The 27,720-nt window shown below is 39.3% G+C and overlaps 1 protein-coding gene and 1 pseudogene across 10 annotated transcripts in view; one reads left to right on the forward strand and one right to left on the reverse strand.

Annotated features, from left to right (window-relative positions):
- AGBL4 (AGBL carboxypeptidase 4) overlaps positions 1-27,720 on the reverse strand; it is a 1,501,444-nt gene that overhangs the window by 1,300,791 nt on the left and 172,933 nt on the right. The gene's annotated exons all lie outside the window — the stretch shown is intronic.
- ZNF859P (zinc finger protein 859, pseudogene) lies at positions 21,351-23,191 on the forward strand (annotated as a pseudogene).

Below are 27,720 nucleotides of genomic sequence, written 5' to 3' on the forward strand. Positions count from 1 at the left end.
AAATTGACCTAGTGGGCTGGAAAAATTATTATGTCATAAAGTAACACCATCAACATTGAGAACTTGGAAGAATATCATGGGCCCAACTGAGCTGGTAACTCTAGTAGACATAGTTTAAAAATATATATTAATACACGTTGGTTGTTCCTTGCTGGTAATAATTAGATCAGATAATAATAGACCAGTTTTCAAGGAAAATTGAATGGAATAGAGCAAATGCAAGAAATTGAGGCACAGCAGGTTTGAAAAATCAGCTACCTTTGGACCTCAAATTTTGGAAGCAAGAATGTCCCAAGCTGCTGAAGACAAATGAATTATTCTGTGAATTGAGGAGAGATTTTGAAATGGGTAGGGAATCATCCAGAAACATGGTAAAGCAGCCATAGAGAACTAAGGAGTGCTTGATATCCAATTTTAAGTCATGTTCACTTCTGCAATTTTTAAAGAAATTTCTATTCTTCCATTAAGGCTGCATAATGTGTGTGTGTGTGTGTGTGTGTGTGTGTGTACATACACACACAGAAACACACAGTACTGTGTGGGAATGTATACATTTTCTTGGCGATATAAAGAAAAGTTAAGTTCCATAACAGGTATGACATAAAGCAGAAATAAAAGACCAGGTGAGGCCAGGCACAGTGGCTCAAGCCTGTAATCCCAGCACTTTGGGAGGTCGAGTTGGGTGGATCACCTGAAGTTGGGAGTTCGAGGCCAGCCTGACCAACATGGAGAAACCCCGTCTCTACTAAAAACAAAAATTAGCCAGGTGTGGTGGTGCATGCCTGTAATCCCAGCTACTTGGGAGGCTCAGACGGGAGAATCGCTTGAACCCGGGAGGCAGAAGTTGCAGTGAGCCGAGATCGCGCATTGCACTCCAGCCTGGGCAACAAGAGCAAAACTCCGTCTCAAAAACAAAACAAAACAGAAAAACAGGTAAGATGCATGGGAAACCAAAATCCTAACAAAGGAGGAACTGAGAGTCAAAATAAAGATATACAGAGAAGTACAGGATATGGTTCTTGGGCTGACACCTGGGTTATACAAGCAACCTCTGTCCAAGGTAAAGATTCCTGCATTACAGTTAACAAGTGTTTACTAACAATGCTAAGCTCTGTGTTTGAGCCTCACGATTTGTCAAATGAATGAGATATGGCATTTGAATCACAAGGGAAGGCACATCAACAAAGAAATGATTGATAATGAAAAGCTTAGAAGCAATAGAAGCTATTCACTTAAACCAACCTATGGTTTCAGAAGCAATGAAGCCATTCACTTAAACTGACCTTAGGGCTTCAGAGAAGGCTTCCTGGTTAGACAACTAAGTTATCTTGAAGGATAAATGCAAATAAGCCAGAGAAAGAAGGGTAGGAATGGCTTTTAAGACAAAGATAATCATATAAACTAAAGCAAGGAAGCATAAAATTACACCACGCATGTGGAGAACTAAAACTGTGTAAACATAGTCTAAAACTAAGGCAAAGAGGGCTAAGAAAAATGTCTGGAAAGGTTGGTAGTGGGTAAAGTCATGGAAAGTGCTAAATGCTATCATAAGATGCGTGGGCTTCATTTCATAAACAATGAGGATGCACTGAAGATTCTTATCTGATTCATTCTCTTCTGAATCTGAGCTATTGCTATTTTTTGGTTTGCCTCTATTGATTTTGACTCCATACTACTCCATAGATTTTTTTTCTCCACTCATAATAGAGCCTCTCTTATTTGCTCTGCCAGTAAGTAACCACCCTGATAAGTCACCCAACCTGTTACAGCTTCCTAAGCAAGACCCAGATAGAATATAGTGAGCAACTCAATATATTGTTTTCAAAACACTGAATGGTTCTAACTGACTCTATCTTCTTTACTGATACAAAAACTGTCATTTTCTTTTGTTTTTCTAAATAATATGCCCTCTTCTGTGATGTATTTTAAAGCATACATGAATATTCTGCATCATCCACTAAACAATCATGCATCTTATTTCTATTCCATGAAAACAGGAAGAAGGAATAGGACACAAGAAGAAGGAGTAGGAAGGGGACAAAAAATTTATGTTGTTGACATTTACCAAGTGCCTACTATGTAATAGGCATTTGATACATTACCTTATGTAATTTTCACAACCATTCTACAAGACAGTTCATTATTCCACATATTTTAAAATGAGAAAACAGAAGTTCAGAAAGGCTAAATGTGATGGGTAATTGTATGTGTCAATTTGGCTGGGTCACCGTGCCAAAATATGTGATCAAATCTTTACTCCGGATGTCTCTGTGATGGTGTTTTTGGATGAGATTAACATTTAAATTAACAGATTTTGATTAAAGCAGATTGCCCTCCATAATGTGGGTAGACCTCATCCAATCAGTTGAAGACTTGAATAGAACAAAAGACTGACCTCCTTGAGTAACAGGAAATTCTGCCAGCAGATGGCCTTCAGACCAACTGCAGAACTGGCTCTTCCCTGGATCTCTAACCTGCTGGCCCACTCTGCAGACTTGCCACCTTTCATAAACATGTGAGCCAATTCCTTAAAATAAATCTTCACTCACACATACACACACACACACACACACCTTTTTGGTTCTGTTTCTCTGGAGAACCCTGACAAACATACTAAAGAACTCAAACAAGGCCACCCATATAGTAAATAATAAAAAAAAACAAAACTTACAACCAGAACTGTTTGTTTCCAAAGCTAGGATTCCACTAGCTACACGATTTTCCATATAATAACTTTAAACACTATTATATTAAAAATGAAAACTAATTTACATAATATTTTAAAACTATTTTAATATTTGTGTAAATTGATAAGCTTAAAAAGTTGTTTTTTTCCTGTGTTGGAGCACTCTTCAGGAAAAATTATAAAAATTAATAAAAAACAAAAACCCTCTGTAATTGAAGTTTAGTGCACAGGGAAGTTTTTTAAAAAAAACAAGCAAAACATATTGGGAAGGAATTAACTAGTACATATGGGTATGAGCATTTGCTTCTAAATGTGGCAATGAAATCTGCCCTATGAGACATTCTTTCAACACATTTGTTTTAAACAAGTATGTTCTGCCATATTTAAGGGACATTTCAAATACAAACCTTCTGTGATTGATATGTAAATTATGAACAGAGTGACAAATCGAAGACTAAGATGAAGGCATTGAGTCAAGTTAACACATCTACACTTGGCTCCTTTAGGATATCTAATAGCTAAATATAAGAATGAGTTGATGACAAAGCAAGGAACCATATCAGGTTTTCATGATCTCCTCTTACATAATAACTGTATCCCTGTATAGACAAAGAAGGCAGAAATAGGAGAAGACAAGACTACAGAAAATTGTTTTTACTCATCCATGAAAGAAGAAGGCTTTAGGGTGAGTATAAACTTGCCAATTATTTTAGGACCCACCATTTTATGTTTAAGCAATTGTCATTTATTCATTTATCCATGGATGTTTTGTGCACCTATTAAGAGCTAGCCATTGTAAGAAAAGAAATCATGGTTCCTGCCCTCAAGAAGTTTATGCTTACAGGCACAGTGAAAAGCTATGTTCCACAAAAGAAATATTAGTAAAACTGAAATTGTAAACTGGAAGACGGAAAAGCCATATACAGCTGCAGATATCATAGGAGAAAGTAAGTTTGGGTACAGACTTTGAGGATAGATTTCAATAAAAGTTGAAAAAGAACATACCAAACAAAGAGAGTATCATAATTAACGTTAAAGACAATAAGGATTTGATATTGGTTAGCAGAATAAAAATGAAAATGCATACATGAGAAGGATCATACAGGTAGAGTATGAATTCTCAATGGGGGTGCTTTCATTTGGAGCAAAAACATTTTAGACTATTACAATGATTTGTTGCCCTCTGAAAATCACAGTACCTAAAGAGATATGCGGTATATCAGTAGCAATGAAATTTCAGGGAGCTGGGGGAGTAGGAAAAAATACCCAAAAAGTAGAGTAATAATAAAAAAATCAGTTAAAAACATTAAGATGGAGTAAAAGGATTTAATAAGAAATTAGATGGGGTGACAAAGAAAAGCAAAAGCTGACTCTAGAATGACTAGAAAGCTATTAGAATTTTTGAAATTAAAAAAAAGTTTTAAGGTCAAAAGGGCTCTTCTGTTTTGAAGTTAAAACATAAGTTTGGTTTGGAAAGCTGTCCATTTTAAAATATCAATACACATCTAGATACAGACACAATCGGATAGTTTAAAATATAGAATCACTACCTTGAAGAGAGTTCAAGGCTGATGATACTTTCCAAGGCAGTGTTATTCAAAATTTGGTCCATAGATTGATGCTGGTCTGCAATGTGTTTGTTGTACATTGCTACCAATTAAGTACAGTATGATACTTTTACAGTCATTTGACATCCAAACTTATGATTGGTTTACTTATCTAGTTCAATAGGGTGTAAATAAATTTAAATGTTGACAAACTCATGTGGCAAATTGCACCTGGCATGAGCATCATACAAGTCATGCACAGTAGGATCATATAGAGAGCCATGACAGACTGGGGAGAAATAAAGTTGGTTCTTGACCACACATAGTTCTGAGAAGCGTTTTACCAGGGCTTAATTATGTAGAGCTTATTACTTAATGAAACTGTATTCCATCATTTCTAAGATAGCAGGGACACTAGTAAAATGTCTAACAAAGAGTAAGTACTCAATAAATCAAACAAGCTTCTAATTTTTAGACAAAATGTTATAATATGTGCATAATTGCATTTTTATTGGAAGGGAGTTCATAGCTTTCATTAGATTCTTATGAACAGATGCCTGTTACCTAACAAAGGCTAATAACCAATGCAGTAAAAAAAAAAACAACTCATTACTACTATTATCTTTGTACCTTCAGTATCTGCACATAATTTCATTCATCCATTTAACAAATAATTATTGAATGCCTACTCTATGTTAGGCTCTGGAGATAGAGCAAATAGACAAAGTAACTATTCTTATTGTAAGAAAGGCAGATAAACAAATAAAAAAGCAAGTAGCATATGAAAACAAAATGCTATAAAAGAGAAACTGGGTAGCTGCTTTGGATCATCACAGAAGGCCTCTCTGAGGAAGCAATATTTAAGCTGAAATCTGAATACCAAGAAGTAAAGATGGTGTGGGGGAGGTGATCAGAATTCCAGAAAAAAAAATTTGGCTGAATCAAACAGCCTAAAAACAAATATGGCCTGCTCTGGAAACAGGCAGAAAGTCACTATGGCTACAGCATTATTGGGAAGAGTAAGAATGTCATGAGGTGAAGTCAGAAAAGTAGTCAAGGGCCAGACCAAGTAGTCACTGATCACTTTGTAGTCAGGATAAGAAGTTCACATTATATTCTAACTCTGATGGGAAGCCAATGAAGGTTTAAAATAGGGAAAGAATGAGATGTGATTTGAATATTTAAGAATATTTCTGGGTACTGTGTAAAGAATAGATAATGGGGGAGAAGAAACTTGAGTGAAAGGAAGCAAGAGGCCAGCCGCGGTGGCTCACGCCTGTAATTCCAGTATTTTGGAAGGCCGAGGCGGGCGGATCACGAGGTCAGGAGATCAAGACCATCCTGGCTAACACGGTGAAACCCGTCTCTACTAAAAATACAAAAAATTGGCCGGGCGCGGTGGCAGACACCTGTAGTCCCAGCTACTCGGGAGGCTGAGGCAGGAGAATGGCGTGAACCCGGGAGGCGGAGCTTGCAGTCAGCCAAGATAGCGCCACTGCAGTCCAGCCTGGACGAAAGAGTGAGACTCCGTCTCAAAAAAAAAAAAAGAAAGAAAGAAAGAAAGGAAGCAAGAGCAACATATGTTAACTGCTTGAATAAGGGAGGCAGACAGAAAATAAATTAATGGATTCAGGATATTTAAGCACAATAATAATTCTTAATGGACGGATGGATGAATGGATGGATGGATGGATTATGAACTATTAGATATGTACTCAAGATTTATAAAGATTAAAGATACGTAAGCTGAACCTTGGAAAATGCCTTATAGGTCATGTGTGGAGGAAAACAAGATAGGTCAGTCCGAGACAGGGGGAGAATGAAGATGTTGTAATCACAGCTGCCAGGGTAAGACAGTATTGGAAAGTAAGAGTAATCATTAGAAATGTCATGTTGCACAGGAATCAAAAACTAAAACAAAACTATCAAATTACATCAGTATGCCCCTGGCAACCCTTCAAAGAACAATCTTGCTGGAGTGGCCAGGATACAAATCAGACTATAAAAAATAAAGATGTAATGGTATATAGTGACATTTCCATTTTTACTGGAAATCTTTCCAAAATCATCTCACACATAATTAAATCTTATTATTATTATAATTTAAGTTCCGGAAAACATGTGCGGAACGGTGCAGGTTTGTTACACATTTATACATGTGCCACGGTGGTTTGATGTACCCATCAACTCATCATGTATATTAGGTATTTCTCCCAATGCTATCCCTCCCCTAGGCCCACACCCCCTCAACAGGCCCTGGTGTGTGATGATCCCTCCCTGAGGCCATGTGTTCTCATTGTTCAACTCCCACTAATGAGTGAAAATATGCACTGTTTGCTTTTCTCTTCTTGTGTTAGTTTGCTGAGAATGATGGTTTCCAGCTTCATCCATGTCCCTGCAAAGGACATGAATTCACCATTTTTTATGTCTGCATAGTATTCCATGGTGTATATGTGCACATTTTCTTTATCCAGCCTATCATTAGTGGGCATTTGGGTTAGTTCCAAGTCTTTGCTATTGTGAACAGTGCTGCAATAAACATACATGTGCATGTGTCTTTACAGCAGAATGATTTATAATCCTTTGGGTATATAACCAGTAGTGGGATTGCTGGGTCCAATGGTATTTCTGGTTCTAGATCCTTGAGGAATCACCACACTGTCTTCCACAATGGTTGAACTAATTTACACTCCCACCAACAGTGTAAAAGTGTTCCTATTTCTCCGCATCCTCTCCAGCATGTTATCTCCTGACTTTTTAATGATCACCATTCTAACTGCCATGATGTGGTATCTCATTATGGTTTTGATTTGCATTTCTCTAATGACCAGTGACGATGAGCTTTTTTTACATATATTAGTTGGCTACACAAATGTCTCCTTTTAAGAGGTGTCTCTTCATATCCTTCACTCACTTGCTCATGGGGTTGTTTTTTCTTATAAATTTAAGTTCTTTGTAGATTCTGGATATTAGCCCTTTATCAGATGGATAGAACGCAAAATTTTTCTCCAATTTTGTGAGTTGCCTGTTCACTCTGATGATAGTTTCCTTTGCTGTGCAGAAGCTCTTTAGTTTAATTAGATCCCATTTGTCAATTTTGGCTTTTGTTGCCATTGCTTTTGGTGTTTCAGTCATGAAGTCTTTGCCCATGCCTATGTCCTGAATGGTATTGCCTAGGTTTTCTTCTAGGGTTTGTATGGTTTTAGGTCTTACATTTAAGTCTTTAATCCTTCATGAGTTAATTTTTGTATAAGGTGTAAGGAAGGGGTCCAGTTTCAGTTTTCTGCATATGGCTAGTCAGTTTTCCTAACACCATTTATTAAATAGGGAATCCTTTCCCCATTGCTTGTTTTTCTCAGGTTTGTCAAAGATCAGATGGTTGTAGATGTGTGGTGTTATTTCTGAGGCCTCTGTTCTGTTCTATTGCTCTATATATCTGTTTTGGTACCAGTGCCATGCTGTTTCGGTTATTGTAGCTTTGTAATATATTTTGAAGTCAGGTAGCTTGATGCTTCCAGCTTTGTTCTTTTTGCTTGGGATTGTCTTGGCTATGCAGACTTTTTTTTGGTTCCAAATGAAATTTAAAGTAGTTTTTTCTAATTCTGTGAAGAAAGTCAATGGTAGTTTGATGGGGATAGCACTGAATCTATAAATTACTTTGGGCAGTATGGCCATTTTCACAATACTGATTCTTCCTATCCATGAGCATGGAATGTCTTCCCATTCGTTTGTGTCCTCTCTTATTTCCTTGAGCAGTGGTTTGTAGTTCTCCTTGAAGAGGTCCTTCACATCCCTTGTAAGTTGTATTCCTAGGTATTTTGTTCTCTTTGTAGCAATTGTGAATGGGAGTTCACTTATGATTTGGCTCTCTGTTTGTCTATTATTGGTGTATAGGAACACTTGTGATTTTTGCATATTGATTTTGTATCCTGAGACTTTGCTGAAGTTGCTTCAGCAAACTAAGGAGATTTGGGGCTGACACAATGGGGTTTTCTAAATATACAATCATGTCAATATGCAAATAGAGACAATTAGACTTCCTCTCTTCATATTTGAATACCCTTTATTTCTTTCTCTTGCCTAATTGCCCTGGCCAGAACTTCCAATAATATGTTGAATAGGAGTGGTGAGAGAAGGCATCCTTGTCCTGTACTGGTTTCAAAGGGAATTCTTCCAGCATTTGCCCATTCAGTATGATACTGGCTGTGGGTTTGTCATAAATAGCTCTTACTGTTTTGAGATATGTTCCATCAATACCTGGTTTATTGAGAGTTTTTAGCATTAAGGGGTGTTGAATTTTATCAAAGACCTTTTCTGCATCTATGGAGATAATTGTGGCTGTTGTCATTGGTTCTGTTTATGTGATGAATTACATTTATTAATTTGCATATGTTGAACCAGCCTTGCATCTCAGGGATGAAGCTGACTAGATCGTGGTGGATAAGCTTTTTTTTTTTAATTTTATTTTATTATTATTATACTTTAACTTTTAGGGTACATGTGCACAATGTGCAGGTTAGTTACATATGTATACACGTGCCATGCTGGTGTGCTGCACCCATTAACTCGTCATTTAGCATTAGATATATCTCCTAATGCTATCCCTCCCCCCTTCCCCCACCCCACAGCAGTCCCCAGAGTGTGATGCTCCCCTTCCTGTGTCCATGTGTTCTCATTGTTCAATTCCCACCTATGAGTGAGAATATGTGGTGTTTGGTTTTTTGTTCTTGCGATAGTTTACTGAGAATGATGATTTCCAATTTCATCCATGTCCCTACAAAGGACATGAACTCATCATTTTTTATGGCTGCATAGTATTCCATGGTGTATATGTGCCACATTTTCTTAATCCAGTCTATCATTGTTGGACATTTGGCTTGGTTCCAAGTCTTTGCTATTGTGAATAGTGCCACAATAAACATACGTGTGCATGTGTCTTTATAGCAGCATGATTTATAGTCATTTGGGTATATACCCAGTAATGGGATGGCTGGGTCAAATGGTATTTCTAGTTCTAGATCCCTGAGGAATCGCCACACCGACTTCCACAATGGTTGAACTAGTTTACAGTCCCACCAAGAGTGTAAAAGTGTTCCTATTTCTCCACATCCTCTCCAGCACCTGTTGTTTCCTGACTTTTTAATGATTGCCATTCTAACTGGTGTGAGATGGTATCTCATTGTGGTTTTGATTTGCATTTCTCTGATAGCCAATGATGGTGAGCATTTTTTCATGTGTTTTTTGGCTGCATAAATGTCTTCTTTTGAGAAGTGTCTGTTCATGTCCTTTGCCCACTTTTTGATGGGGTTGTTTTTTTCTTATAAATTTGTTTGAGTTCATTGTAGATTCTGGATATTAGCCCTTTGTCAGATGAGTAGGTTGTGAAAATTTTCTCCCATGTTGTAGGTTGCCTGTTCACTCTGATGGTAGTTTCTTTTGCTGTGCAGAAGCTCTTTAGTTTAATTAGATCCCATTTGTCAATTTTGGCTTTTGTTGCCATTGCTTTTGGTGTTTTAGACATGAAGTCCTTGCCCGTGCCTATGTCCTGAATGGTAATGCCTAGGTTTTCTTCTAGGGTTTTTATGGTTTTAGGTCTAAGGTTTAAGTCTTTAATCCATCTTGAATTAATTTTTGTATAAGGTGTAAGGAAGGGATCCAATTTCAGCTTTCTACATATGGCTAGCCAGTTTTCCAAGCACCATTTATTTAATAGGGAATCCTTTCCCCATTGCTTGTTTTTCTCAGGTTTGTCAAAGATCAGATAGTTGTAGATATGCGGCGTTATTTCTGAGGGCTCTGTTCTGTTCCATTGATCTATATCTCTGTTTTGGTACCAGTACCATGCTGTTTTGGTTACTGTAGCCTTGTAGTATAGTTTGAAGTCAGGTAGCATGATGCCTCCAGCTTTGTTCTTTGGCTTAGGATTGACTTGGCGATGCGGGCTCTTTTTTGGTGCCATATGAACTTTAAAGTAGTTTTTTCCAATTCTGTGAAGAAAGTCATTGGTAGCTTGATGGGGATGGCATTGAATCTGTAAATTACCTTGGGCAGTATGGCCATTTTCACGATATTGATTCTTCCTACCCATGAGCATGGAATGTTCTTCCATTTCTTTGTATCTTCTTTAATTTCATTGAGCAGTGGTTTGTAGTTCTCCTTGAAGAGGTCCTTCACGTCCGTTGTAAGTTGGATTCCTAGGTATTTTATTCTCTTTGAAGCAATTGTGAATGGGAGTTCACTCATGATTTGGCTCTCTGTTTGTCTGTTATTGGTGTATAAGAATGCTTGTGATTTTTGTACATTGATTTTGTATCCTGAGACTCTGCTGAAGTTGCTTATCAGCTTAAGGAGATTTTGGGCTGAGACAATGGGGTTTTCTAGATATACAATCATGTCATCTGCAAACAGGGACAATTTGACTTCCTCTTTGTGCCTCTGGATTCAGTTTGCTAGGATTTTATTGAGGATTTTCGCATCGATGTTCATCAGGGATATTGGCCTGAAATTTTCTTTCTTTGTTGTGTCTCTGCCAGGTTTTGGTATCAGGATTATGATGACCTGATAAAATGAGTTAAGAAGGAGTCCTTCTTTTTCTATCGTTTGGAATAGTTTCAGAAGGAATGGTACCAGCTACTCTTTGTACCTCTGGTAGAATTCAGCAGTGAATCTGTCTGTTCCTAGGTTTTTTTGGTTGGTACATTATTAATTATTGCCTCAATTTCAGAACCTCTTATTGGTCTATTCAGGGATTCAACTTCCTCCTGGTTTAGTCTTGGGAGGGTGTATGTGTCCAGGAATTTATCCATTTCTTCTAGATATTCTAATTTATTTGCGAAGAAGTGTTTATGGTATTCTCAGATGGTAGTTTGTATTTCTGTGGGATCTGTGGTGATATCCCCTTTATCATTTATTATTGTGTCTATTTGATTCGTCTTGCTTTTCTTCTTTATTAGTCTGGCTAGATGTCTACCTATTCTGTTAATCTTTTTAAAAAATCAGTTCATGGATTCATTGAAGGGTTTTTTGTGTCTTGATCTCCTTCAGTTCTGCTCTGATCTTAGTTATTTCTTGTCTTCTGTTAGCTTTTAAATGTTTTCTTTTGATTCTCTAGTTCTTTTAATTGTTATGTTAGGTGTCAATTTTAGATCTTTCCCACTTTCTTCTGTGGGCATTTAGTGGTATAAATTTCCCTCTAAACACTGCTTTAACTGTGTCTTGGAGATTCTGGTACATTATCTCTTTTTTCTCATTGGTTTCAAAGAACTTATTTATTTCTGCCTTAATTTCATTATTTACTCAGTAGTCATTCAGGAGCAGGTTGTTCAGTTTCCATATAGCTGTGTGGTTTTGAGTGAGTTTCTTAATCCTGAGTTCTAATTTGATTACACTGTGGTTTGAGAGAATGTTTGTTATAATTTCCATTCTTTTGCATTTGCTGAGGAATGTTTTACTTCCAATTATGTGGTCAATTTTATAACAAGTGTGATATGGTGCTGAGAAGAATGTATATTCTATTGATTTGGGGTGGAGAGTTCTGTCGATGTCTATTAGGTCCACTTGGTCAAGAGCTGAGTTCAAGTCCTGAATATCCTTGTTAATTTTCTGTCTGTTGATCTGTCTAATATTGACAGTGAGGTGTTGAAGGCTCCCACTATTATTGTGTGGGAGGCTACATCTCTTTGTAGGTCTCTAAGAACTTGCTTCATGAATCTGGGTGCTCCTATATTGGGTGCATATGTATTTAGGATAGTTAGCTCTTCTTGTTGCATTGATCCCTTTACCATTATGTATTACCCTTCTTTGTCTTTTTTGATCTTTGTTGGTTTAAAGTCTGTTTTATCTGAGACTGGGATTGCAACCCCTGCTTTTTTTTCCTATCCATTTGCTTGGTAAATATTCCTCCATCCCTTTATTTTGAGCCTATGTGTGTCTTTGCATGTGAGACGGGTCTCCTGAATACAGCACACTGATGGGTGTTGACTCTTTATCCAACTTGCCAGTCTGTGTCTTTTAATTGAGACATTTAGCCCATTTGCATTTAAGGCTAACATTGCTATGTGTGAGGTTGATCCTGTCATTATGATGCTACCTGGTTATTTTGCCCATTAGTTGATGCAGTTTCTTCATAGTGTCAATGGTCTTCACAATTTGGTATGTTTTTGCAGTGGCTGGTACCAGTTTTTCCTTTCCATATTTAGTGCTTCCTTCATGAGCTCTTGTAAGGCAGGCCTGGTGGTGACAAAATCTCTCAGCATTTGCTTATCTGTAGAGGATTTTATTTCTCCTTCACTTATGAAGCTTAGTTTGACTGGATATGAAATTCTGGGTTAAAAATTCTTTTCTTTAAGAATGTTGAATATTGGCCCCCACCCTCTTCTGGTTCTGGCTTCTAGGATTTCTGCAGAGAGATCTGCTGTTAGTTTGATGGGCTTCCCTCTGTGGGTAACCCAACCTTTCTCTCTGGCTGCCCTTAACATTTTTTCCTTTATTTCAACCTTAGTAAATCTGACGATTATGTTTCTTGGGGTTGCTCTTCTCGAGGGGTATCTTTGTGGTGTTCTCTGTATTTCCTAATTTGAATACTGGCCTGTCTTGCTAGGTTGGGAAGTTCTCCTGGATAATATCCTGAAGTGTGTTTTCCAACTTGGTTCCATTCTCCCCATCACTTTCAGGTATACCAATCAAACATAGGTTTGGTCTTTTCACATAGTCCCATGTTTCTTGGAGGCTTTGTTCATTCCTTTTCATTCTTTTTCTCTAATATTGTCTTCATGGTTTATTTCATTAAGTTGATCTTCAATCTCTGATATTCTTTTTCCGCTTGATCAATTCATCTATTGATACTTGTGTATGCTTCACAAAGTTCTCGTCCTGTGTTTTTCAGCTCCATCAGGTCATTTATGTTCTTCTCTAAACTGATTATTCTACTTAGCAATTCCTCTGTCCTTTTTGCAAGAGTCTTAGCTTCCTTGCATTGGGTTAGAACATGCTCCTTTAGCTCAGAGGAGTTTATTATTACCCACCTTCTGAAGCCTACTTCTGTCAATTCATCAAACTCATTCTCTGTCTAGTTTTGTTCCCTTGCTGGCGAGGAGTTATGATCCTTTGGAGGAGAAGAGGTGTTCTGGTTTTTGGAATTTTCAGCCTTTTTACACTGGTTTTTCCTCATCTTCGTGTATTTATATACCTTTGGTCTTTGACGTTGGTGACCTTCGGATGGGGTTGTTGTGTGGATGTCCTTTTTGTTGATGTTGATGCTATTCCTTTCTGTTTGTTAGTTTTCCTTTTAACAGTCAGGCCCCTCTGCTATAGGTCTGCTAGAGTTTGCTGAAGGTCCATTCCAGACCCATTTGCCTGAGTATCACCAGCGGAGGCTGCAGAACAGCTAAGATTGCTGCTTGCTCTTTCCTCAGGAAGCTTCGTTCCAGAGAGGCACCTGCCAGATGCCAAACGGAGCTCTCCTGTATGAGGTGTCTCCCCATCAGGAGTCATGGGTGTCAGGAACTTACTTGAGGAGGCAGTCTGCCCCTTAGCAGAGCTCAAGCACTGTGCTGGAGGATCCACTGCTATCTTCAGAGCCTGCAAGCAGGAACGTTTGAGTCTGTTGAAGCTGCGCCCACAGCCGCCCCTTCCCCCCAGGTGCTCTGTCCAAGGGAGATGGGAGTTTTATCTATAAGCCCCTGACTGGGACTTCGGCCTTTCTTTCAGAGATGCCCTGCCCAGAGAGGAGGATTCTAGAGATGCAGTCTGGCTATAGCCACTTTGCTGAGCTGCGACTGGCTCCAACCAGTTCAAACTTCCTGGCAGCTTTGTTTATACTGTGAGGGGACCAGAACCCTCTTTCCAAAATCTGTGTAGCCCTTAAGTCTGTATACATAAACTCCATTTTAAAATGTTAAAAACTGGTCATGAACACAATTCACCAAGGTGGTATGAAATAATTAAGCATGACCTAGTTCAGTAAATTGCAAGGTTGGCAACACACTGCTCCACTAGTGTCAACTATGACAATTAAAACAGAGCTTCTCCTGGCCAGATGCAGTGGCTCACACCTGTAATCCCAGCACTTTGGGAGGCCAAGGCGGGTGGATCACGAGGTCAGGAGATCGGACCATCCTGGCTAACACAGTGAAACCCCGTCTCTACTAAAAATACAAAAAATTAGCCAAGTGTGGTGGCAGGCACCTGTAGTTCCAGCTACTCGGGAGGCTGAGGCAGGAGAATGGCGTGAACCTGAGAGGCAGAGCTTGCAGTAAGCTGAGATCGTGCCACTGCACTCCAGCCTGGGCGACAGAGTAAGACTCCATCTCAAAACAAACAAACAAAAAAACAGCTTCTCCTAAGGTTCAGCAAATCATGCCAACTACTATAGCCCTGAGCTATTGGAAGCAGAAGGTGGTGAGTGAAGATCCAACCCCACCATTTATAGTAACCCCAGGGAATCAATGAGAAAGGTTTCTTGCCCTCAACATTCAGGAATGAATCAAAAATGGGTCAGTGAAAGAGCTCGTGCCAGGTAGTTCAATAAAAGGAATTTACTATGGGAAACTAGTTGCTCAACTATTGGGAAAGCCAAAAGGCCAAATGGGGAGAGTGGGAAAAAATAACACAGAGATTAACAACAGTGAGAAGTGTCTAGTGTACTCATAGACAAAAGGGCAAAGACAAAAGCTATTGATATCCTGAGAGCTCCGGCTATCCAACAATGATGATATCACAAGAAAGGAGTTGTTTGGCAAAACCATGAATGTAGGTGTAGCCACTGCTGGAGATGCCACCCAAAGGAGAAAGAAAAAGAAATACCTAGGCTTCTTCCTTCTTCCTGCCCTACAGACACCTGCAAGAGGTTCCTCTTAGCTGAGGTAGCTAGAAGCCAGTTGACAACGAAGCCTGGGAAATGCGATTTTCAGAATTTTGTCCCTAACACTACAGAGCAAAGGTGGAAAATGGAATTAATTGCAAATAGTCAAATGACCTGCACAAGATATTCCTAAACCTTCAGATGCCAACTCAATTTGAAAGCTGTATGATAACCCATAATTTGTACAGATTTTTCAATACTGAAGTATATTATAAAAATATTATTATTTTATGGAGCATGAAGAATAAAAACATAGATAACATTCTAGTTTGCTAGTTAATATTTCTTCAAGTGTTATTTACAAATGGGAAGAAGCAATAACAGTAAGTAAAAAGTAAATTTTAACTGAAAATTATCATGTTCTGGTTATCACTAGAAAAATTATGTCTTAGAATTTACACTAATACATACACATACTATAATCATTCTAGTGGTACCTTAAATTGTTATTTAAAAAAAACTCAACCATATTTAATAAGATGATGTGTCTCCTTTTGTGATTATTTTACTACTAAAGCATAAGAGGGTGGTTTATGTGCATCGTAAGTCCCCTTCAAAGCTGTTTCTCAGATTACTTGAAAAGAGCAGTTGAAGAGGCATGCAAACAGGTTTCAATATGCCCAATTCATATTTCTTCAATTGTGCTTTCCAAGGCCTTTAAGTTTAGCTGTTACTATAGAAAATACCATCATTCTTAGAGGAAAATTATTTGGGAATGAAATATTTCAATTCCTCCTTGTTAAGAAAGCAGAGAAAATAGGAAAGAAAAATATATACCAGTAGATACATAACTGTTATATCAAAATATAATTCAGTAAGGAGGTCAGTAATCTTATAAACAAATTAAAACTATATTATAATAGAAGTTCAGATTTGTTTCAATTATGAGTCAGAAACAAGGAACAGAATTAAATTTTTGGTCTACAGTTACAGAGTTACCAATATTTCTCCAGCAGAATTTCTAGACATAGTGAAACTCTCCTTTATATTTAATAACCATGCTTTTTTCCTCCTAAATGTCCTATTTTTTCTCTAAATGAGATAATGGCCTTATAAGGTGGCATGTTCTGGCATAAAGTAACAGTATTAGTAAAAATGAAATTTCTATCAGATCTCATGTTAAAGAGGTCATCAAATGAAAGCATTTGGATTTTATCCTGAAAACAATGGGGAGCCATGACAGATTTTGAGGAATAATGTAATATAATCAGATTATTTGCATTTTAACTTTGGTTGCATAGTGGAGCATGGACCAGAGAGAGGTGGAGTAGTTAGAAAGCTGTTGTACAAGTCCAAGGGGACCCATGTTGAGGACCTTATATAGGATAGAAGCTACAGGGTTAAAACAGTTGTGAGATATTATCCTCATACATTTAGGTGTTGTGATATATTACAATCATCCATTTAATTACAAAAAGAGGGAAACAAGAATGCATTGTACAATACTTTCTCCTATTATAATTCTATGAGGGAAATTCCACGAGGGACAAGAAGCTAAACCCACTGGTCAGGACAAAAATTTTGGGGTAGTAAAACAAACAGGGCAGCAATACATATAATTCAGGAGGATCCACAAGACAGAGCTGTGATAAAGGGTGAGATTATAGAGAGGAACCCAACAAACAGGGAGATACACACAAGCCAGATTCAGAGTGTGGACATAGGTACATTTGGTAGAATTTGGCTATAAATATGTCTGGTCCAGGGTTTTTTTTTGGTTGGTAGTCTTTTTATTATTGATTCAGTTTCAGAACTCAATATTGGTCTATTCAGAATTTCAATCTCTTTCTGATTCAATCTTGGGACATAGTGTGCTTCCAGGAATTTAACCATTTACTCTGCACTTTCTAATTGGTTTACATAAAGTTGTTCATAGTAGTCTCTGGGGATTTTTGTATTTCTGTGGGAATAGTTGTAATGTTGTATTTGTCATTCCTGATTGTACTTAAGTGGATATTTTTTTCTTTGTTTATCTAGCTAGCAGTCTATCGATCTTGTTTACTCTTTCAAAAAATGAACCCATGGTTTCATTGATGGTTTGTATAGATTTAATAACTAGTATCAATCCTAGTGAAACTATTCCAAAAAACTGAGAAGGAGGGACTCCTCCCTAACTCATTCTATGAAGCCACTCTCAGCCTAGTACCAAAAACTGGCACAGACATGACAAAGAAAGGAAACTTCAGGTCAATATCGCCAATGAATGCAGACACAAAAATTCTCAACAAAATACTAGAAAACTGAATCCAACAGCCCATCAAAAAGCTAATTCACCACAATCAAGCAGGCTTTATTCCCAGGATGAAGTCAATAAGTGTTATCTACCACATGAACAGAATTAAAAGCAAAAATCATATGACCATCTCAATAGAGAAAGAAAAAGTTTTCCATAAAATCCAATATCCCTTCATGATAAAAACCCTCAACAGGCAGACTTGTTATCAAACAGACATACCTCAACATAATAAGAGCCGTCTCTGGCAAACCTATAGCCAACACCATACTGAATAGGAATAAGCCGGAAGCATTCACATTAAGAAATGGAACAAGACAAGGATGCCCACTCTCACCACTCTTATTTTACATAGTACTAGAAGTCCTAGCCAAAGCAGTCAGGCAAGAGAAAGCAATAAGAGGCATCCAAACAGGAACAGAAGAAATTAAACTATGTTTTGTCACTTGCAATATGACTGTATACTTAGAAAACCCTAGAGACTCCAGCAAAGGGCTCTTAAACCTGACAAACTATTTTATCAAGGTTTCACAATATCAACATACAAAAATCAGTAGCATCTCTATAAACCAATAAGCATCCAGAATGGGAATCAAATCCAGAACACAATTCCATTTATTATACACTAGCCACAAAAAAATGAAATACACAGGACTACAGCTTAAACAACTGGTTAACTGAGGCAACTACAAAACACTGCTGAAAGAAATCAGAGATGACACAAATAAATGGAAAGACATACCATGCTCATTGATTGGAACAATCAGTATCATTAACATGGCCATACTGTCCAAAACAACTTACAAATTCAATGTTATTTCAACCAAATTACCAACATCATTTTTCACAGAATTAGAAAAAAATCATAAAATTCATATGGAACCAAAAAAGAGTCCAAATACCCAAAGTAATCCTAAGAAAAAAGAACAAGGCTGGAGAAATCATACTATCTAACTTCAAACTATACTCTAAGGCTACAGTAACCGAAACAGTATGGTGCTGGTACTAAAACGGACACAGAGATCAATGGAACAGAATAGAAAATAGAGGCAGAAGAAATTTCTAAGCGGCAAAGCATACAAGAGGTGACTTGGGTGCTGTTAAAGGCATTCAGTTTTATAAGGGAAGCAGAGCATAAAAGTTCAGAAAATTTGCAGTCTGACAATGTGATAAAAAAAAAAAAAAATCCCACCGGCACCACGGCCTTTGTCTCACAGTCAGGCGGAGCAGGGGCAGCCATTCCTGCCAGAAGCCAGGGCATGACCCCTGGGCTGCCTGTCTCCACAGACCCAGTGAGAATCTCGGCCTCCTCGAGCGTGTCCTCCACCTCGTACCTGGCCTCGTCCTTGCACACAGTCTCCTCCTCACACCCGGCCTCCTCTTTGCACCCAGCCCATATTCACGTGCAGCCTCCTCCTTGTGCCCAGCCTCTACTCATGCCTGCCCTCTACCTGCATGCCCGACCTCCTGAAGTCCGCGCCAAGCTCCCCAACCACAGCCTCTGCCTCTGAAAGGACCACCCACACTGCATTGGAGGAGCATGTGACCTTTGAGGACATGGTGGTGGACTTCAGCCAGGAGGAGTGGAGGCAGCTGGAGCCTGCCCAGAGGGCCCTGTACTATGATGTAATGCTGGACGCCTTCAGGCTTCTGGTCTCTGTAGGACATTGGTTACCAAAGCCAAACATCACCTCCCTGCTGGAGCAAGAGGCAGAGCCATGGGCGGTGGACTCTGGAGTTCCCCAAGGCATGTACCCAGGTGAGATGGGAGCCCTTCAGGGCTGAGAGAAGCCTGTCCATGCTTGCTCCCTGGTTTCTCTGTCTGCATGTGCTCTCTAATTCTTCAGAGCAAATTTACTACTCAGTCTTAATTCTTCACAGCAAATTTACTACTCAGTCTTAGTGAAGATTTACCAAGCACCCATTTTGCTGTGAGTGACGACACCAAGTCCTCATCTCCACTGAATTTACATTCTTGGTGAGGGAGTGGGGGAGACAAACAATAAATCGGTAAAATAATAATAATAATAAAATGAGTTGGATGATTACAGATTGTGATGAATGCTGAGAAAATGAAAATGAGTGATGAGGTAGACTAGGATGGGGGTGAGGAGACTTTAGCAGAGAGATGAGGGATAGCCTCTCTAAGGAGGTGACATGTGACTTGAAGCCTGAGCCATGAGGCAGTCTGAGAGAATACTAGCATTTCAGGCAGAGGAAACAGCAGGTGCAAAGGCCTGAAGTGATGCATCAGTCAGTTCTCGCATAGTAAAAGCACTCTGACCTCAGTGGCTTAAACCAAATAATTGTTTATAATTCATATGTCTGTGGGACAATGGATCCAGGCTGGGCCCTGACATGTGCCTGTAGGGTGATTGATAGGTAGCAGAGATATCCCAGCCCACTGACAGGCAATTTCCCATTGGCATCAGGTGGGAAGAGTGGCCTGTCACCAGAGTCCAGGAGGAATGGCCAATGTGGGAGAGGGTCACATTAGGGTCCCTCCACATCAATAACAGACGGGGTGTTGCTCTCTTGCCCAGGCTAGAGTGCAGTGGTATGAGCATGGTTCACAGCAACCTCGACCTTCTGGGCTCGGGTGATCCTCCTGCCTCGGCCTCCTGAGTAGCTGGGACTGCAGGTGTGTGTCACCATGCCTAGCTAATTTTGTGTGTGTGTGTGTGTGTGTGTGTGGAGATGGGGACTCAGCATTTTGCCCAGGCATGTCTTGAACTCCCAGGCTCAGGCAGTCCTCCTGCCATGGCTGCCCAAAGTGTTAAGATTACAGGCATGAGGCCCTGTGCCTGGCTAAGAATCCATTTATTTGCATTTTTCAGCTTCTAGAGGCACCCACATTCCTTGGCTATGGCCTTGTCCATCTTCACAGTCAGTAAGGGGTGGTCAAGTCTCACATCTTATTCACTCTGACTGTGACCCTTCTGCCTCTTTTCCACATTTAAGGACACTTGTGATTACACAGGTCCACTCAGATAATCCAGTATAATTTCTCTATCTTAATGTCAGCTGATTAGCAATGTTAATTCCTCCCTCCCATGTAATGGGAAACATACAGGTTCTATGGTTAAGATGTGGGCATCTTGGGAAGCCACTATTCTGCCAGTCACCCCTGGCTTACCTTTTTTTTAAAAATTGAACTTTTCACTGAAGTATAACAATATGGGGAAGGTACCCACATCACCCCTCTAGGCCACTGTGGGGTCAGGGTAGGGGCAGCATGCACCCAGGTCATGGCTGTGCAGAGATGGCTGGGTAGCAGGGCAAAAAGGGAGTCCTGCCAGGAAGCAGGAGGAAGGAGTGCATTTGTTCATTCATTAAGCATGTATATTGAGGTCTTGCTATGGGATAGAGATACAGTGGTGAGCAAGGTGGACAGAAACTCCTACTCTCAGGGGGTTCCCATTTAGTGAAACAGACAAAATAAGGCAGATCAAAGTACTTTAATACACCAAGGGTCATTTATCTTCCTCCTAGTGATGCATGTTGCAGCTATTCCTGTTTGTGGGAAGCAGATAGGCTCCTTTACATCTAGAGTGAGATGGCACAACAGCATATGCTGCCAGGAAGAAGCTGGGTGTCAGCAGACTTTCCCCATGCAGCACCTTTTTCTCTGTTGCCACCTGGCATCATGGAGGCCACTGTAGCTGGGGCCTGGCTGCCACATTGCTCCTTCCAAGTCCAGTGCATCTGTGCATCTGAGTGCTCTCTCCCTGGGCATCCCCTCTGCACCCTCCTCTGTGCTCCCCTCACAGACTCTACCCATATTCCTTGTGCCAACTGTTTTTCCCTTCCTCTCCTCTTCCTTTCCTTATTCTGTTCTTTCCTCTTCCTTTCCTTATTCCTTATTTTCCTCTTCCTTATTCTGTTTTTCCCTCTCTCTCTTCCTTTCCTGGTTTGCAAAACTATATTTTTAAATAGTCAAAGCCACTTGCACCTTGAACATTTCAAAATCATTAGTTTCATCCTTCCTCTTCCCATCTCACCACAAACTCTTTTGCCCTGGAACAGAGATTAAGGGACATTTCCAGTTTTTGCTTCTTTCAGACTTGGAAACTAGACCCAAAGTCAAACTGTCAGTTCTAAAGCAACGTATCTCTGAAGAAATATCCAACAATGTCATCTTGGTAGAAAGATTCCTCTGGGATGGTCTGTGGTACTGCAGGGGTGAAGACACTGTGGGCCACTGGGAATGGAGTTGTGAGAGCCTAGAGAGCCTGGCAGTGCTGGCAGCCTTGATGCCTTTGAAGATGCCTGTTCAGGAGCAGTGACAGAGGAATGGGTTTGGGGAAAACAGAAGTCTGAACCCTGATTTCCTACATCAACCAATGACTCCTGAACAACAAGGCCCCCACACGTGGGGAACACGTGGAAAAAGGGAGAAGCCAGACCTAAATGCTCTACAGAAAACCTATGTAAAAGAGAAACCCTACAAATGTCAGGAATGCAGAAAGGCCTTTAGTCACAGCTCAGCACTTACCCAACACCACCGTACGCATACAGGACAGAGACCTTATGAATGTCACAAATGAGGAAAAGTCTTCCGAAACAGCTCGGCACTTACCAAACACCAGAGAATCCACACTGGGGAGAAACCCTATAAATGCACTCAGTGTGAGGGGACCTTCAACCAAATTGCCCCACTGATCCAGCACCAGAGAACTCACACAGGCGAGAAACCCTATGAGTGCAGTGTATGTGGGAAATCCTTCAGTTTTATGTCCTCCTTTAGCCAACACAAGTGAACTCACACAAACAAGAAGCCCTATGAGTGCAACAAGTGTGGGAAAGCCTTCCAGCAAAGCATCCACCTCACCCAGCACCTGCGAATCCACACTGGGGAGAAACCCTATCAGTGTGGTGAGTGTGGCAAGGCCTTGATCCATAGCTAGTCCTTGACCAAACACCAGCAAATCCACACAGGGGAGAAGCCCTACGAGTGCCATGAGTGTGGAAAAGCCTTCACCCAGATCACACCACTGATTCAGCACCAGAGGACCCACACAGGAGAAAAGCCCTGTGAGTGCAGTGAGTCTGGGAAAGCCTTCAGCCAGAGCACATTCCTGACTGAGCATCAGAGGATTTACACGGGAGAGAAGCCCTATGGATGCAACGAGTGTGGGAAAACCTTCAGCCACGGCTCCTCACTTAGCCAGCAGGAGCGGATGCACACAGGAGAGAAGCCGTTCGACTGCAGTCAGTGTGGGAAGGCCTTCCTTCTGGCAGAGCACAAACCTCACACACCAGCAAATCCACACAGGGCAGAAGCCCTACAAATGCAATGACTGCAGCAAGGCATTCAGCCACAGCTTGTCCCTCACCAAACATCAGCGAAACCACACTGAGGAGAAGCCCTACAAATGCAACCAGTGTGGCAGAGCCTTCAGTCAGCTTGCTCCCCTCATTCAGCATCAGAGGATCCACACAGGAGAGAAACCCTATGAATGTAACCAGTGTAGCCAGAGCTCCCTTCTCATCAAACACCAGAGGATTCATACCAAGGAAAAGCCCTATGGGTTCAATAAGTGTGGGAAATCCTTCAACCACAGCTCCTCACTCAGCCAGCACAAAAGGACACACACTGGGGAAAAGCCTTATGAGTGTCACGATTGTGGAAAGTCCTTTAGGCAGAGCACCCACCTCACACAGCACTGGAGGATCCACACAGGAGAGAAGCCATATGCATGCAGGGACTATGGAAAGACCTTTACACACAGCACCTCCCTTACCAAGCACCAGAGAACTCACACTGGATAAACCCACTCCACATGTGCTGGGGACATAGGAAGACCTTAAGACATAGCTCATCCCTTTCTAGATTTGACCCAATCATACACATGAGAAACATATGTCTTTATCAACAGGGTGGAAACAGACTAATACAAAAGTGAAGAGACAATCCACTGAAGGAAAGAAGTATCTCATGTACTCCATAAATATATACACCTATTAAATATTTTAATTTCAATCTTTGTGGTTACATGATAGGTGTATGACCAAGCTGAGAAACAACTCAAGGAGGCAACCCCATTTACAACAACTACAAAAAAATAAAATATCTAGGAATACATGTAACCAAGGAGATGAAAGATTTCTACTAGAAAAACTGCAAAACACGGATGAAAAAAATATAGATGACATAAACACATGAAAAAACATCCCATACTCATGGAGCAGAAGAATTAATACTGTTAAAGTGATCACACTGCCCAAAGCAAGCTACAGATTCAATGCAATCCCTCTCAAAATACTGACATTATTTTTAACAGAACTAGATAAAGCAATCCTAAAATTCATATTGTACCCAAAGGAGCCCAAATAGCCAAAGCAGTTCTAAGCAAAAACAACAAAGCTGGAGATATCAAATTATCTGGCATCAAATTACACATACTACAAGGCTTTATTAACCAAAACAGCATGGTACTGGTTTAAAAATAGACAATTAACATCAATTAAAGAATAGAGAACCCAGAAATAAAGCCACCTATCTCCAGCCAACTACACATACATTGGGAAGAGGACATTGTTTTCAATAAGTGGTACTGGTAATATTGGATTGCCACCTGCAGAAGAATGAAACTAGACTCCTATCTCTTGGCATACACAAAAATCAACTCAAGATGGATTAAAGACTTAAATGTAAGACCTAAAACTATAAAAATACTATAAGAAAAACTATGGAAACCTCTTTTGGACATTGGTCTAGGCAAATAATTCATGACTAAGGCCTCAAAAGTATAAGCAACACAAACAAAAATAGATCTATGGGACTTAATTAAACTAAAAAGCTTCCACACAGCAAAAGAAATAATCAACACAATGAACAGACAACATGCAGAATTGGGAGAAAATATCTGCACACTATACATCGGACAGGGGACTAATATCCAAATTTTATCCAATTTTTACAAAAATGTCACAAAAAAGTAGATATCCAAATATCCAAAATTTATAAGGAACTCAAACAACAACCACAACAAAATCAATAACCCCATTAAAATAAGCAAAGGACATGAATAAATATTTTTTAAAAAAGAACATTACAAATGGCAAATAAACTTGTTTTTTTTTTTTTTGAGATGGAGTCTCGCTCTGTCACCCAGGCTGGAGGGCAGTGGCGCGATCTCGGCTCACTGCAGGCTCCACCCGCCAGGTTCATGCCATTCTCCTGCCTCAGTCTCCCGAGTAGCTGGGACTATAGGCGCCCGCCACCTCGCCCGACTAATTTTTTGTATTTTTAGTACAGACGGGGTTTCACCATGTTAGCTAGGATGGTCTCAATCTCCTGACCTCGTGATCCGCCCGCCTGGGCCTCCCAAATTGCTGGGATTACAGGCGTGAGCCACCATGCCTGGCCCAAACATATTTTTAAAATGTTCAACATCATTAAGCATCACAGAAATGCAATTAAAACTACAATGAGATATCTTATACCAGTCAGAATGACTATTATTAAAAAGCAAAAAAATAATAGATGTTGTTGAGGATGCAGAGACAAGAGAATGCTTATCAACTGTTGGTGGGAATGTAAATTAGCACAACCTCTATGGAAAACAGTATGGAGATTTTTCTAAGAACTAAAAATAGAACTACCATTCAATACCATTCAATTCAAAGATATTTTTCTAAGAACTAAAAATAGAACTACCATTCAATCCAGTAATCCCACTACTGGGTATCTGCTCAAAGAAAAAGAAGTCATTATGTAAAAAAGTTACTTGCACTCCAATGTTTATTACAATACTATTCACAATAGCAAAGATGTGGAATCAGCCTAAATGTCACTCAATGCAGGATTGCATAAAGAACATGTGATATACAATGGAATACTATTCATCCATAAAAAGAATTAAATCATATCTTTTGCAGCAACATGGATGGAACTGGAGGCCATTATGCTAAGTGAAACAACTCAAAAGCAGAAAGTCAATACACATGTTCTCATTTATAAGTGAGAGCTAAATAATATGTATACATATAGAACGTGGAATAATAGCCCCTTGAGACTCAGAAGGGTAGGAGGGGTCAGGGAATGAGAGATGAGAAATTATTTAGTCGGTACAATGTATATTATTTGGGTAATGGTTACACTAAAAGCCCAAACTTTACCACTACGCAATATATCAATGTATCAAAACTGTGTTTGTACCCCTTAAATTTATTCAAATAAAAAACTTTAGGTGCTAATGATGTTATATCCAACAGCAGAAAGTCCATGGCATGAAATGTTTATAGAGATATGCAAAATAACTGCACTAGATATTCCTAATCAATCACTTTTAAGAAGCAAGGATCTATGTGACTTTGTGTATGATACTATCAAACATTTTTGAAAATTTAATGACATTGGCTGGCTACTCCCAATGTTACTGGACAACATGGTTAAAAAAAGGTGGGGGGATGAGTTCAGGGATTCAAACTCCCAGCATAAACACCTAATAAATAACCTAAGAGCTTCTGTGTGTACCCTGAAGGAGACCTTTACTTTCTGTGGCTGCAAGGCTGAAATTGCTGAAGATCAAATGTAGAACCTCATCCTGTGACTTAATGAATTACAAGGCAAGTTAAACACCAGCCTGGCAGAGTGCATATGTTAACATGAGGGCATTGATTTGGAAACACGGGATTGTGAAACTCAGGATGTGGATGTGTGGGAAGGCCCTCCAGGGTCATTGACACTCTAAATTCTGACGAGTCTTCTTTGCCCTAAATAATATTTACCCTTTCTAAGATGTCCTCATTCATCTAATTTATTATTATTATTATTATTATTATTATTATTATTATTATGTATATTCTGGTAAGAAAGCTCACATCTTTAAACAAAGTATACATACACACACACACACACACACACACACACACATACATACATTAAGATGGATAGTAGGTATCATCCCTCAATAAAATGTAAGAAAACTGGCTCCTTTGTCAAGCCAAGATTTGAACCACAGCCTGAACCAATATCTGTCCACTTAACCACTCTACTGCAAGTCTCATGTATTACTAGCATAGATCTAACTGATACAACCAATTATTCATAAATTGTTGGGAAAATATGCATTATTTATTTGGTGATTACATGGTAAGATTGAACAATTTCTTTTACTGAGTTTTTTTGTAAAGGATGGAAGAAGACTGCAGTGGGGTTAAAGAAAAGATGTTATGAGAAAGGAATCTGAATTATTGCAGGCTGTATGTAAATCAAGACATTTAATCTTTTAAATGAGGATAATCTTTATTCCCACAGAGGTGTAATTATTGTAAAGGGTCCTTATGTCTTTAACATAAGAAAGAATCAAAGATATTATGTAGGCATCAAGTACATACAAGACAAGGCACTAGTACAAGATTTATAGAAAATAAAAAGCCATTGTTCTTAATTATGCGGACAGTATTCAGGTCTGGTTGGAAGTACAATACTACAATACTGCGTAATGACTGAATCATGTCCTCTCAAAATTCCTAAGTTGAAGTCCTAGCATCTTTATAGAGGTAATCAAGTTAAAATAAGGTCATTAAAGTAGTTCCCAATCCATTGTGACTGACATTTTTGTAAAAAGTGGAAATTTGGATATAGACATACAGGGAGAACACCATGTACAGATGAAGGCAGAGATTAGAGTGATGCTTCTGTAAGCCAAGGAACACCAAAGATTGCTAACAACCTGTAGGAAGCTAGGGGGAGAAACATGGAACAGATTCTTCCTCATAATTCTTAGGGGGAACCAATCCTGCTAATCTCAGACTTCTAATCTCCAGGACTGTGAGACAATACATTTCTGTTTTATAATCCACTCAGTTTGTGGTACTTTGTGACAAACTGAGTACTGTGAAAGTAAGAAACAATAAACATCTGTTGTTTAACCCACTTCGTAGTACTTTGTTATATCAGCCTTATCAAACCTATACAATATGACATAATCAAAGAGCAACACCCTGCATAAACAAATTTTCAATTGTTTGGTATAAACAACCAATGTTTTTAAGGTTCAGAAAAAACTATTATATAACTGATATTGGTATGTCCCTTCAGCCACACATACACATACTTATGCACACACATGCATACACATTATTCAGAACCAATGAAAATTAATAATTATTTGTAAAATAAAATTATGTTTACCTTTCTCACTAATATTTTCAACATATTCTGAGTCTCTACTGTGTGACAATTAGAGCATGAGGCTCAGAACATCAAGGGCTAAAGAAGACCTAGTCCCTACTGGATGAAAATACACAATCAAGTCCTCATCTCCACTATCAGAACACCCACAGCATTTGCCAATTACGAGGAAATTTTACCTCTGCTCTTTAGTTTGTATTCAATTAAATCTGCTATCTAATTGTTTTATAGGGAAGCCTCTTCTCCCCC

This window comes from Homo sapiens, chromosome 1 (genome assembly GCF_000001405.40).
Source record: "Homo sapiens chromosome 1, GRCh38.p14 Primary Assembly".
In the NCBI taxonomy this organism is placed as follows: domain Eukaryota; kingdom Metazoa; phylum Chordata; class Mammalia; order Primates; family Hominidae; genus Homo; species Homo sapiens.